This window comes from Homo sapiens, chromosome 7 (genome assembly GCF_000001405.40).
Source record: "Homo sapiens chromosome 7, GRCh38.p14 Primary Assembly".
NCBI lineage: Eukaryota > Metazoa > Chordata > Mammalia > Primates > Hominidae > Homo > Homo sapiens.
This window is the reverse complement of record NC_000007.14, coordinates 150,644,667-150,658,790: the sequence shown is the minus strand read 5'-3', so window position 1 is coordinate 150,658,790 and position 14,124 is coordinate 150,644,667. Positions and strand designations below refer to the sequence as shown.

General features: G+C 40.5%; 1 long non-coding RNA gene across 2 annotated transcripts in view; it reads left to right on the top strand.

Moving 5' to 3' along the window:
- Positions 1-10,487, top strand: part of LOC124901774 (uncharacterized) — a 39,410-nt gene extending 28,923 nt beyond the window's left edge. For both annotated transcript variants that reach the window (XR_007060589.1, XR_007060588.1), the window contains one exon: positions 9,900-10,487. This is a non-coding gene — a long non-coding RNA (uncharacterized LOC124901774). The remainder of the gene's footprint in view (positions 1-9,899) is intronic.
- The last annotated feature ends 3,637 nt before the right edge of the window (positions 10,488-14,124 follow it).

Below are 14,124 nucleotides of genomic sequence, written 5' to 3'. Positions count from 1 at the left end.
AATCTCACACTGATGCTCCCTTCTCTCCTCCCCTTTCCTTTACCAAGGAAGCCTGAAGGCCACTCTTCCCTGACCTTTAGCAAGGAAGACTAAACGTAAAAAGCTGCAGTTACCACTCCTAAGAGGTCAAAGTCAGTGACGTTGGTAAATAGACCAATGACCCTACTCCATTCCATGCCTTCCCTAATCTAGTCGCATCCTCTGTTTCCCCAAAATAGTTATGTGGATAAATTACCTTTATTTCTTTTGCTACTTCATAAACTTCTACCTAAAATTTGAAATGAGGTAGAGGAAATTTGTGTTTTATGTGAAATGAGACGAGGATAGTTCATAACGTCTATAATGAATAAGTTTATAGAATTTCAGGCATCAAGGAAATTAATGGCACTATTGTTCCCATAAGAAGAAATACTTTCATGCTGTATCCCAAATTGTATCCATTAAATATTTAATTCCTTTAAATTTTTCCGTAAATATAGTCCTATTGTAAGCAAGACTAATGTTTTCAGAAACATACCAGGGATTGTATATTCATACTCAATAATTAATTTATTTTATAAACTTTTTCTTTTGTCAAGTTGTTACTATCATGCAAATGTGTCCCTTTTAAGCTGAGGCACTCATTCTAACACCCCTGGCTCCTTTCACAGTATGCCTGGTACTCCAGCACTAACATTGCCCTGGGAGTTAGCACCCTAAAAGAGAATCCTAATTATAACACTGTTTTTGAGGCTCAGCCTCTGCCCCTGGGTACGTCAGCACAAAAAGCTGAAATTATTGCTCTTACCTGAGCTCCAATATTGGGAAAAGGGAAAAAGCTTAACATCTATATGGATTCTAAATGTGCGGGTCTCAGGTTCATGCTCATGCCAAAATTTGGAAAGAAACAGGACTACTAACTGATAAGCATTTCTCCATAAAGCATGGGTGTGAAATTCTTCAACTACGGGAAACAATATACTTGCCAGAGGCCATAGCTGAAAGGAGTTAGCCAGCTTGCTTTAGGCAGACAGTAAGGGAAAGGTCCCCAGAGAACCTCCAACCTGCCCCACAAGTGCTTATACCAGATGTTTTGTACATTTGAGGAAACTTGCACAGCGGGCTTGCCTAAACACACCTGCAGTGGAAAATTCCATTCATTAATACACGTGCAGTAAGGGAAATAAATCAATTTGGAGTCACTCAGTCTAAGGGCCCACATGTGCACTGGAAGGATGGGATGGAGCTGCCAGGAATTTGCACCTTAAGCCTGGATATTCAACTGTGAAGGGTGCAATGGCAACCTGCTCTCAGGACCACTCTCTTTGCTGGGAGTTTTCCTTTTGCTTAATAAATTCTACTGCAGCCACTCTCTGGTATCTGTGTGCCTAATTCTTCCTGGATGTGAGACAAGGACCAAGACCTAGCTGAGCTAAGGAGCAAAATCCTGCATCATAGTTATAATCCATTGTAGGGGGCATCAAAAGGACTTAACCCCTATAGCACAAGGAAACAAAAAGGCAGATAGGGAAGCCAAAGCAGCAGTTCAGGGTGCAATCTCAACAAATCCTAGCACTGCTTCCTTTCTACGATTTCCCAATAGAACCTGAATACACATCACAGGAAAAACAGTTAATAAAGGAGCAAAGGGGACAAAAACAAGGATCCTGTGGTGTATGGGATCAAAAATGTATCTCTCTCAAACGGCCCAATGGAGAATTATAAAAATCTTCATGACTTTTTCCATATGGGAAGAGATGCCACTCTGGTCTGGTAAACAGATTCTTCATTGGGCCTAACTTAGCTTCAGTGGTTAAGCAGATCTGACAAACCTGCTCACTGTGTGCATTCAACAACCCAGGAAACAAAATGCCTCCTCTAATAGGACCAGTCCAGAGAAGGAGAACTTACCCAGGGGAAGACTGGCAACTGGACTTTACCCACATGCCAGGTTGTAAAGGATACAAGTTTTTGTTAGTACGAATAGACACTTTTACTAGCTGTGTTGAAGCTTACCCTACCAGAATAGAGAAGGCTAATGAGGTTATAAAGTTTCTCTTGAAGGAAATATTCCCCCAGTTTGGGTTACCCCAAAGCCTCCAAAGTGATCACAGCCTTCTTTTGTCTCCCAAATAACTCAAGGGTTATTTATAACTCCCAAATAACTCTCACATAACTAAGGCTCTTGGAATCAAATACTATTTACATTCAGCATGGAGGCCTTAATCCTCCAAGAAAGTAGAAAAGGCTAATCAAACTCTAAAACGGGCATTAGCTAAGCTACATCAGGAAACAACAGAAACTTGGATCAGCTTACTGCCCATATCCCTCTTAAGAATTTGTAATTCCCCAAGAGCAAAAATTAATATGAGCCCATATGAAATATTATATGGGAGGCCATTTTAAACTAATGATCTAATGATTGATCCAGAAGCAGCCGGTTTAGTAAAATACTTAGTTAACCTGGGACAATTTCAGCAGGCTTTACAAAAAGTTTGGAACTCAAAGGTTCCCTGTACCAGGAACTAACCAGCGCACCAAGGTCAGGCCAGGAGATAAGGTACTTGTTAAAACATGGAACGAAGGGTCACCTGCTCAACAATTACAACCCAAATGGAAAGGACTGTTTTCCGTTGTGTTGGCCACGCCTTCCACAGTCAAAGCACTAGGATCAGATTGTTGGATACATCTTTCCAGGGTTAAGTCTGCAATATCTGAAGCCCTGGACCTGGAACTGGAGGCTCCCTCCAGCCACTATACCTGTGAACCTGTGGAAGACCTGAAGTACCTGTTTAAAAGAAAGCCAAAAGATAAGTAAATACCTACCAATTTTCCCTGGTGTAAAATGTTAATTGATTTTTGCTCCCTCACTTACAGATGCTTGTGCAAGGGTTTCAGTCAGTTTTGGAACAAAATCCAAAATCGAGCCAAAGATACTCAACTGTCACAACTGGATCAAGCTAGCTGCACCTTTTATGACCAAGTACAAGTTTCATTGCAGCCCACGGACACTGACCTAACTACCTAGGGACAAAGAGCCAGGATTCTCAATAGGCAGGGACAATGCCCGTGACCAGCAGGAAGCAGCTACAGAAAGCTGATCTTCAGTGCCTCTGCCTCCCATAAAGATTCAAGGGGATCATGTCTCTCAGCAGGAAATGAGACAGGAGAATAGGGAATTAAGGTAACCAAGGGTTAAGGCATAAGCAAAAAAACAGCAGGTGCCGACAGTTCTAGGCAAGATTAGGCAGCATAAAGGCCACATCCTTGCTCCTGTGATAACAAGACATAAGTTTCCACTTTATTCTCTGATTGGTCACAGGCCAATCCTTCATAAGGTGTAACCAATTGGAGACCTCTAAAGGGCACCCAGGTGGGTGTGGTGGTATGCGGCCTGTAATCCCAGCTACTCAGGAGGCTGAGGCAGGAGCATCACTTGAACTTGGGAGGCAGAAGTTGCAGTGAGCCGAGATTGCACCACTGCACTCCAGCCTTGGCAATAGACAAGACTCAGTCATAAATAAATAAATGGCACCTAGAGGTGTTGCCAAGTTATTTTGGCTATATAAAAACATTGGGGAGCATTGTAACAAGGAGATTCTTGTGCTGGTTGCTGGAGCTCACTCCCACCCTGTAAACTGTCTTCAACAAATCTGTGCTTTCATTACTTCCTTGCTTTGTCTTTCATTGCTTCATTCTTTTGTTACTTTGTGCATTTTGTTCAATTCTTTGTTCAACACTTCAAGAACCTGGACAACTCTATCAGTAACAATAGGATTGAACAAAGTAGTATGTATATTGCAAATAATGTTGCACAAACAAGTTACAAATAAGAATAGAACTTACTGCTTTTTAAAAGCATGTAGATAGAGAGATGCAGAAATCAACATAAGTATGTGGATTTGCATATGTAAATTTGCACGCATGGCTTTCCCAGCTCTGTCTGCTAAGGCGAGCTTAGAAAAAGTGACACCTTCTAGCAATGAGCACATCAAGTGTCCAAATCTTTGTTTATTACCCAATAACCAGAACCAAAAGTCCTTGGAAAAGGGGTAGATTCCAGAGAATGTTTCTCATGTATAGATTTGGCAAAACTCCTAAAGTTTGACAGCCTACTTTCTTGACAAAAGTATAGGGAAGACAGAAACTCTCAGACACTGCTGAAGGGAAAGCAAAAGAGTTCAGCCCTATGGGGGTAAATAAAGAAGGATTTACCCTTTGACACACATTATCAAATTTAAGAATGTGCCCAAAAATACACTGGCAAAAGTATAGAAAGAACTATGCAAAAATCTCCTTGGAAGAGTACTATTTAAAAAAGCAAAGACAAAAACTGATCCAAATTACCATGAATAAGAGACTGGCGGGATGAACTTAGATACATCTATGCAATGAAGTACTTCTTCATTGTAAAAAGTAGTGAAGACTATCTCTATAGAGAGTTGTAAAATCATCTCCAGGATATATTGCTAAGTATTTTATTCAATTATGAGTTGAATAAAATAATGTAAGGGATACTATCATTTGTTTAGTAAGGGGCACAAGATACACTTTTGCATATATATTTATTATATTTATATGTTATATATTTTCATATAGATACATAAATATAAGGATGACAATAGAAAGATATACTTTGAAAACAAGCAAGGAAAGAAAGAAGGAAGGGAAAGAAGAAAAAGAGAAAAAGAGAGGTAGAAGAAAGGAAGAAATAAAAGAAGAAAGCAAGAAAGAGTAACAAGGAAGGAAAAAGTTACCTGTGTACAGAGGGAGGGAATAGAAATGAGAGCAGAAGCTGGACTTCTTTGAATTGACTGTTATGAAGATTTGATTTTAGAATGATAAAAATATTTGAGTTGAAGTGTGACTCTACCACACTCACTCTTAACCATGCACTCTACAGCCTGTCCTTGGTTACTCTCAAACCATGATTGTACATTTTCATTGACATCATGTGATAAATAGGTCAGGGGAGGGCAAAGGAAATGATCCACACTTTGCTCAGAAGGTGAGCTGGGAGCAAGCCTTGGATTGGAGAGTCCATGGGGAGGGCTCCGCACTTCTCTGTGGACTTTTCCCTCTATCCCATACTGAAAAGCCAAAGATGAGAGAGAGACAGAAAAAATCATTTTTTTTTTTTGAGATGGAGTCTCACACTGGCATCCGGGCTGGAGTGCAGTAGCATGATCTCGGCTCACTGCAACCTCCCCCTCCCAGGTTCAAGCGATTCTCCTGCTTCAGCCTCCCAAGTAGCTGGGATTACAGGCACCCGCCATGGCGTCCAGCTAATTTTTTTGTATTTTTAGTAGAGACGGGGTTTCATTACGTTGGTCAGGCTGGTCTCAAACTCCTGACCTTGTGATCCACTCGCCTCAGCCTCCCAAAGTGCTGGGATTACAGGCATGAGCCACCGCGCCTGGCCTAGAAAAATCATTTTAAAACTTTCCTAAATGGGAGACAATTAGATCATCATAGCAGATGGCAGGCAGGACCAGATTGCAGTTCTGGACAGAGCAGCTTGTGGAAGCTCACATTGTGAATTTTAGCGGCAGATCAACTGCAAGAACAAACCAGCAACCCTGAGAGGACCCTCCAAAGGAAGCAGTCTGCTCCTGCAGGACCTGGGAGATACCCCAAATACTGTGAGTGCCCCAACTGCAGAAGTGGGAAAGGGAGACCCTCCTCTCCCAAACACACAACAAAAAAAAAAGTCCAGGACCAGATAGATTCACAGTAGAATTCTACCACACATTCAAAGAAGAATTGGTACCAATCCTTTTGATGCTGTTCTACAAGATAGAGGAAGAAGGAACCCTCCCTAATTCATTTTATGAAGCCAGCATCACAGTAATACCAAAACCAGGAAAGGACATAATCAAAAAAGAAAACTACAGACTGATATCCTTGATGAACATTGATGCTAAAATCCTTAACAAAATACTAGCTAACTGAATCCAACATATCAAAAAATATGATCGAGTAGGTTTCATACCAGGGGTACAGGGATGGTTTAACATATGCAAGTCAATAAATGTGTTATACCACATAAACAGAATTAAAAACAAAAATCACATGATCATCTCAATAGATGTGGAGAAAGCATTTGACAAAATCCAGCATCCTTTTATGATTAAAACTCTCATCAAAATCAGCATAAAAGGACCATACCTTAATGTAATAAAAGCCATCTATGACAAACCCATAGCCAACATAATACTGAATAGGGAAAAGCTGAAAGCATTCTCCCTGAGAACTAGAACCAGACAAGGATGCCCACTCTCACTGCTCCTCTTCAACATAGTACTAGAAGTCCTAGCCAGAGCAATCAGACAAGAGAAAGAAATAAAGGGCATCCAATCAGTAAAGAGAAAGTAAAATTGTCACTATTTGCTGATGATATGATTGTTTACCTTGAATACCCTAAGGACTCCTCCAGAAATCTCCTAGAACTGATAAAAGAATTCAGCAAAGTTCTGGATATAAAATTAATGTACATAAATCAGTAGCTCTTCTATACACCAACAGCAACCAAGCAGAGAATCAAATCAAGAACTCAATATTTTTTACAATAGCTGCAAAAAATAAATAAAATAAAATAAAATAAAATAAAATAAAATACTTAGGAATATACCTAACCAAGGAGCTGAAACACCTCTACAAGGAAAACTACAAAACACGTCTTAAAGAAATCATAGGTGACACTAATGGAAACACATCCCATGCTCATGGATGGGTAGAATCAATATTGTGAAAATGACCATACTGCCAAAAGCCATCTACAAAGTCAGTGCAATCCCCATCAAAATACCACCATCATTCTTCACAAGATTAGAAAAAACAATTCTAAACTTCATAAGGAACCAAAAAGGAGCCCACATAGCCAAAGCATGACTAAGCAAAAAGAACAAATCTGAATGCATCACGCTACCTAATTTCGAACCATAAAACAGTGTGATACTGTTTTATAGGCACATAGACCAATGGAACAGAATAGAGAATCCAGAAATAAACCCAAATACTTATAGCCAACTGATCTTTGACAAAGCAAACAAAAACATAAAGTGGGGGAAAGGACACCTTTTTCAACAAATGTTGCTGGGGTAATTGGCAGCCACGTGTAGGAGAATGAAACTGGATCCTCATCTCTCACCTTATAGAAAAATCAACTCAAGATGGAGTAAGAACTTAAGCCTAAGACCTGAAACTACAAAAATTCTAGAAGATAACATTGGAAAAGCCCTTTTAGACATTGGTTTAGGCAAGGATTTCATGACCAAAAGCAAATGCAATAAAAACAAAGATAAATAACTGGGAGCTAATTAAACTAAAGAGCTTTTGCATGGCAAAAGGAACAGTAAGCAGAGTAAATAGACAACCCACAGAGTGGGAGAAAATCTACACAACTGTCAAAGGACTAATATTAAGAATCTACAACAAACTCAAACAAATCGGTAAGAAAAAAAATCCCATCTAAAAGTGCGCTAAGGACATGAACAGACAATTCTCAAAAGAAGATATACAAATGGCCAACAAACATATGAAAAAATGCTCAACATCACTAATGATCAGGGAAATGCAAATCAAAACCACTATGCAATACCACCTTACTCCTGCAAGAATGGCCATAATCCAACAATCAAAAAACAGTAGATGTTGGCGTGGACGCAGTGAACAGGGAACACTTCTACACTGCTGGTGGGAATGTAAACTAATACAGCCACCATGGAAAACAGTGTTGAGATTCCTTAAAGAAATAAAAGTAGAACTACCATTTGATCCAGGAATCTCACTACTGGATATCTACCCAGAGGAAAAGAAGTCATTATTCAAAAAAGATACTTGCACATGCATGTTTATAATAGCCCAATTCACAGTAGCAAAATCATGGAACCAATCCAAATGCCCATTAATCAAAGAGTGGATAAACTGTAGTGTGTGTGTGTGTGTGTGTGCGCGCGCGTGTGTGTGTATGATGGAATACTATGCAGCCATAAAAAGAATGAATTAACACCATTTTCAGTAACCTGGATGAGATTCGAGACTATTATTCTAAGCCAAGTAATTCAGGAATGGAAAACCAAATATCATATGTTCTCCCTGATATGTGGGAGCTAAGCTATGAGGACACAAAGGCATAAGAATGATACAATAGACTTTGGGGACTTGGGGGGAAATGTGGGAGGGGGCGAGGGATAAAACACTACAAATATGGTGCAGTATATACTACTCAGGTGATGGGTATACCAAAATCTCACAAATCACCACAAAAGAACTTACTCATGTAACCAAATACCACCTGCACCCCAATAACTTATGGAAAAAGGTCACATTAAAAAAAAAAAAAACTTCCCTAAGTGGTTCTTGGAAGACCCAGATGACCTCCAGCTAAGAGGAGGGCTGAGAAGTGAAACAAGCGTGTGCTTCAGACATGAGCTGACCTAACTGTAGCCAGACCCACCATTTCTGGAAGATTCCATAAGCTTCTTGAGACTTAGTTCCCTCTGCTATGAAAAGGGTCAATAAAACCAGTTGTGCAGGGTTGTCATGTGGTTTTCATGGAATAATTTCTAAAAGTCTTACACATTGCCTAGAGCACAGCAGCCACTCAAGATGCCACGGGATATATAAGAGAAGCACGGACTAAAAAATCGTTCTGTGTCTTACCTAGAACCACACTGCAACTTAGGGGTTCAGCTGGAATTACAAATTATAGTCGTTTTTTAGAGCAGCTAATCTTCTCCCTAAGCTCCCTATCCTCCACCCCATCTCTTATACTATTAGGAGCACAGCCTCCTTCTTGGGAGGTGTTGGAATATATCTAGACATGGAGTTAGTAGACCAAGTTCTAGTCTTTTCTTGTCAACCTAGAGGACACTTGGGATGTCCCCAATTCACTGGGCTTTGATTCTTTTTCAGTAATTAAAGCAATTAGAGTAGGTTTAGATTTGGTGTCTCTAAATTGCCTGCAAGTTCTGAAGACCTGTCCTGGGGACACTAATATCCTGTTAAAGGTAAATGACAGTTTTCAGACAACAGCATCACAACAGACACCAGATAGAAAGTGCCTGTTAAGCAAAGGCCTGTCCTGTGCAATATGAGCTGGAGTGACATTCTGCTTGAACTCTCAGCTTCCCCTCCCACAGCCTCTACACTCACATGCAGGCTGCCCCCCATGACCCCCACTCACACACAGCTCCCTGCTCTCCTTCCCAGCCAGCCTCACCTGCTTTTGCAGAATGGATGAGCTCACAAGTCTCTCCAGGGAAGTGTGAACTACCATTTTTACTTCCAGCGAAACCTCTGACCCCGCTCAACTTCTGACCATGGAAGCTCCAAAGGAGTGGAGCCAATGAAGAAATATTTCACATTTAAACAGAAAAAGAATGTAGTATTTCACAATTTGGTAGGTGCTTCAGTTTTGCCTGAGGGAAGTGTTTTTCTCCATGCACCTGCTGGACTCCCGAGAAACCCAGTCACAGCCATTGCTTTGGATGGTAGTGTGACTCTGAAGACCTAGTGAAATAGCCCAAATTTTGCTCAATGTTGTATTCTCTATGGTCAGCCACTGAGATCCACTTCCTTCCCCTCCATTTCAGGACTGAAGTCCCGAGTCTCCCTGCTGACTTGACGGGAGTGTTGAGAGCTGACAGCTGCTGGCTGAGCCCTGCCCCCACCCCTAAGACACCACCTCATGATTGGTCTCAGCTAAAAAGTCACTTCCTCCAAGGTCATCTCCCATTCCCAGGGCCACTCACACCTGATGACTTGTCAGTGTAGAGGTATAGAGGCCTGGCCTCTGGCCCCAATTTTGGGTAGCTGTGCAGGGCCATCTTAGTCTCTGGGCTCCTGGAGGGGTTGACTCACTAGGCCTTTGTTGTCATCACAGCCTGACTTCCTCTGCTTCCTTCACTCGCCCACAGGCTCTTCCCAAAAATACTCCTAAATGAATTTCATGCCTGCACAACTTTATCTCAGCATCTGCTGAACTGTGACAGCAACATCCAGAAAGCACAGTCTAATCCTCACTGAATGAGGGGAAGTTGAAGGGTGAGTGTGCGAGAGATTTGGGTGGGTACACAGAGCCAAACTATATCACATGAGTTATACCTAATCAGTTATTATTTGTATATTAGTAAATTATTATAGTTTGTATTTAGTTGCACCCATCAACTTACTAAATTCTCTTATTGTTAGAGTAGTTTATCACTTCCTGGGCTGTGGTAATGGATTGCAGAGCATGGGTGCTTGCTCTTGTGACTGTGGCCTATGAGGTTATTTTTGTTTTTGGAGTCCTGGCACACTTACAGGTAATTTCCACCTGTGCCTCAGAACCAAGTTTTCGCTCCAGTTTAGAAGAGAACATTTTCAGAGGCTTGTAAAAAACTGACATTGAATTAAATTTACAGGTAATGTAGAAATAATTTACTGACTTTTTTATGATAACACATGTGGAACAAAAGGCTCATATAAGTTTATAGCTTAGGGAATTGTCATATTTGTTTGCTGTAAGCTTTTATATGTATCCATATTATAATATGTAGGTATAGATTATGCCTTCTCATAACTGTATTTGATTTTATTGGGTGAATATAGCCCAATTCATTTGGTGTCTATTGTAGATGGACATTTGCATTGCTTTCAGTTTTTTTATGAGTACACTGCTATAAATATTATAGGCATTATCTTTTGTTGAACACCTATTTCTCTTGGGTATGCACCCAAGAGTAGAATGGCTGAATATTGGCTATGTGTAACCTTCAGCTTTCATAGATACTACCAGATAATTTTTTTTTGAGACAGTCTCATTCTGTTGCCCAGGCTGGAGTGCAGGGGTGCGATCTTGGCTCACTACAACCTCTGCCTCCTAGGTTCAAGTAATTCTCCTGCCTCAGCTTCCCGAGTAGCTGGGATTACAGATGTGTGCCACCACGCCTGGCTAATTTTTGTATTTTTAGTAGAAGGGGGATTTCACCATGTTGGCCAGGCTGGTCTTGAACTCCTGACCTCAAATGATCCACCCACCTTGGCCTCCCAAAGTGCTGGGATTATAGGTGTAAGCCACCATGCCCAGCCCAGATAATTTTCCAAAGTGGTTTTACCAATGCACATTTTCATCAAGCCTTCTATGAGAGTTCTTTTTGCTGCATATCCTCAGAAGTTTCCTATTTTTTTTTTTCTTTTTTGAGATGAGGTTTCACTCTTGTTGCTCAGGCTTGAGTGCAGTGGCACAATCTCGGCTCACGTTCCAGTGATTCTCCTGTCTCAGCCTCCCAAATAGCTGGAATTACAGGTGCCCACCCCCATGCCCGGCTTGTTTTTTGTGTTTTTATTAGAGACAAGGTTTTATCATGTTGGGCAGGCCGGCCTCAAACTCCTGACCTCAGGTGATTCACCCACCTCTGCCTCCCAAAGTGTTGGGATTACAGGCATGAGCCACTATGCCCAGCCCCTCAGATGTTTCTTAAAGTTTTCTTTACACAGAGGTTACACATTTTAGAAGTTTGTCCTAGGTATTTTATCTTTTTGTTATTTTTAAAAATGTGATGTATTAGTCCATTCTTGCACTGCTATAAAGAAATATCTGAAACTGGATAATTTATAAAGAAAAGAGGTTTAATTGGCTCATGGTTCTGTGGGCTATACTGGCTTCTGCTTCTGAGGGGGGGCCTCAGGAAACTTACAATCATGGTGGAAAGTGAAGGGGAAGCAGGCACATATTCACATGGCCAGCAGAAGAGAGAGAGAGTGAAAGGAGAGGTGCTACACACTTTCAAACAACCAGATCTCATGAGAACTCTATCACGAGAACAGCAAGGTGGAAGTCTTCCCCCATGATTCAGTCACCTCCCACCAGACCCCTCCTCCAACACTGGGGATTACAATTCAACATGAGATTTCAGTGGAGACACAGAGCCAAACCATATCACATGTGTTATACCTAATCAGTTTTTATTTGTAACTTAGTAAATTACTATAGTTTGTATTTAGTTTGCACCTACCAACTTACCAAATTCTCCTATTTTTAAGTAGTTCATCAGTTTATTCTCTTGATTTTCACAGATATGAAATCATATTTTCTGCAAATAATTTTATATCTAGCTTTACAATTTTTATGCATGCAATTACTTTCTGTTTTATCGTTGTAGCATTCACTTGCTCTAGAAAACTGTAGGGGTAATAAGGAACAATGACATGTTTTCCTTTTACCTGACGTTAGGTTGAAGGGTTGTCAAATTCCCGACTAAGCATGATGCTGGATTTGATGTTGAGGTAGACACAGCTATCTATTTTGTATTATAAGGAATTATCTTTAAAAATCAAATACTGGTTGAACTTTATCAACTGCCTTCTCAGAATATAAGTAGAAGATCAAATTAGTTTTCTTTTTGAATATATTACCACGTGAAATTATTTATGAATATCCTAATATTAACCTATCTTTGCATTCCTACTTGCTAATGCAAGGTTGTTCTTTGAAAGAACTGTTTGCTGATATTTATGTACCATGTTAATAAATATTTATAAGTGAGCCAACTCCTTGCTAATTAAGAGCAGTTCATATAATTATTTGGTTGTTTTACCCTTTGCTGACCCACGTTCTCAGGACTCCACCTTCACATAAAATATTTACCAAGATATTTTTATTAGATGACACACTTTCTGAGAAACATCTTGGTTCCAGCTCCTCAGAGTACTTATGGACACAAGAGATGGGATAAAACCCTCAAGTAACTAAGAGAAATGCAGCAAGGCCAGAGCACAGAGAAGAAGAAAGATTGTAAGAAAATGAGGCAGAAGAGGTAGCTGGGGAGCAGACTTGGCCTGGATCACCTAAGCGGGTAGGGAGCTGCAGAAGGGAAAGGAGAGGAGAGGAGAGGGGAGGGGAGGGGAGGGGAGAGGAGGGGAGAGGAGGGGAGGGGAGGGAGGAGGGGAAGGAGAAAAAGAGAGGAAAGGGAAGAGAAAACCTGTGAAGGCCACAGCCCAGGAACACAGACCCAGTGAAAGAGTGAGGCAGATTTAATACTAAATGTATAGAATGCTTTCCTTGCCTCGCTTCTTACCACCACATCGTGGCTTAGTGGATTGCAGCTGAAAGAACTACAAGACACATACACGTGGTCCTTACTTTATAATAATTTGATTTGTAATTTTTTGACTTCATGATAGGCTTATCAGGGTACTGAATGTATTTTCCACATATGATATTTTTGACTTATGATGGGTTTATTGGGATGTAACTGCATCATAAGTCAGCAAGCATTGGTACGGTACTCAAGGAGTCATTAGGGACACCTGAAGACATCAGAGGAAATTAAACAAGGATACTGGAGGAAACTGAAACCTCTGACTACAGTTACAGCAAACATCAAACACAATGCAATCTGTAGCCACTTAACATAAAGTCTCATAGTGAAGGCCTATTTCCCTCAGTTCCCATTACCCAATGTATCGCATCAGGCTTTCAACAAGGATTACAGGGCACACTAAAAGGAAAGAAAAATACAGGCTGAAGAGACAAAGCAAGCAACAGAACCAGACTCAGATATGACACAGGTTTTTGAATTGTCAGATGCAGAATTTAAAATAATTTCATTAACATGTTAAAGGTTGTCATTAAAAAGGTACACAACATTCAAGAAAAGATGGGTAATGTCAGCAGAGAGATGGGAACTTTAAGAAAGATTCAAAAGGAAGTGTTAGCAATCAAAAACACTGTTTTTTTTTTATTGTACTTTAAGTTTCAGGTACATGTGCACAACGTGCAGGTTTGTTACATATATACACATGTGCCATGTTGGTGTGCTGCACCCATTAACTCGTCATTTAACATTAGGTATATCTCCTAACTATCCCTCCCCACTCTCCCCAACCCAAAACAGGCCCCAGTGTGTGATGGTCCCCTTCCTGTGCCCATGCATTCTCATTGTTCAATTCCCACCTATGAGTGAGAACATGCGGTATTTGGAAACCATCATTCTCAGAAAACTATCGCAAGGATGAAAAACCAAAAACACCGTTAAAGAAATAAAGAATGCCTTTGAAGAATGCCATCAATAACCTGGACTCAGCCAGGGAAAGAATCAGTGAGCATGACATATGTCAATAGAAACTTACCAAACTGAAATATAACCCAAAAAATGAAAG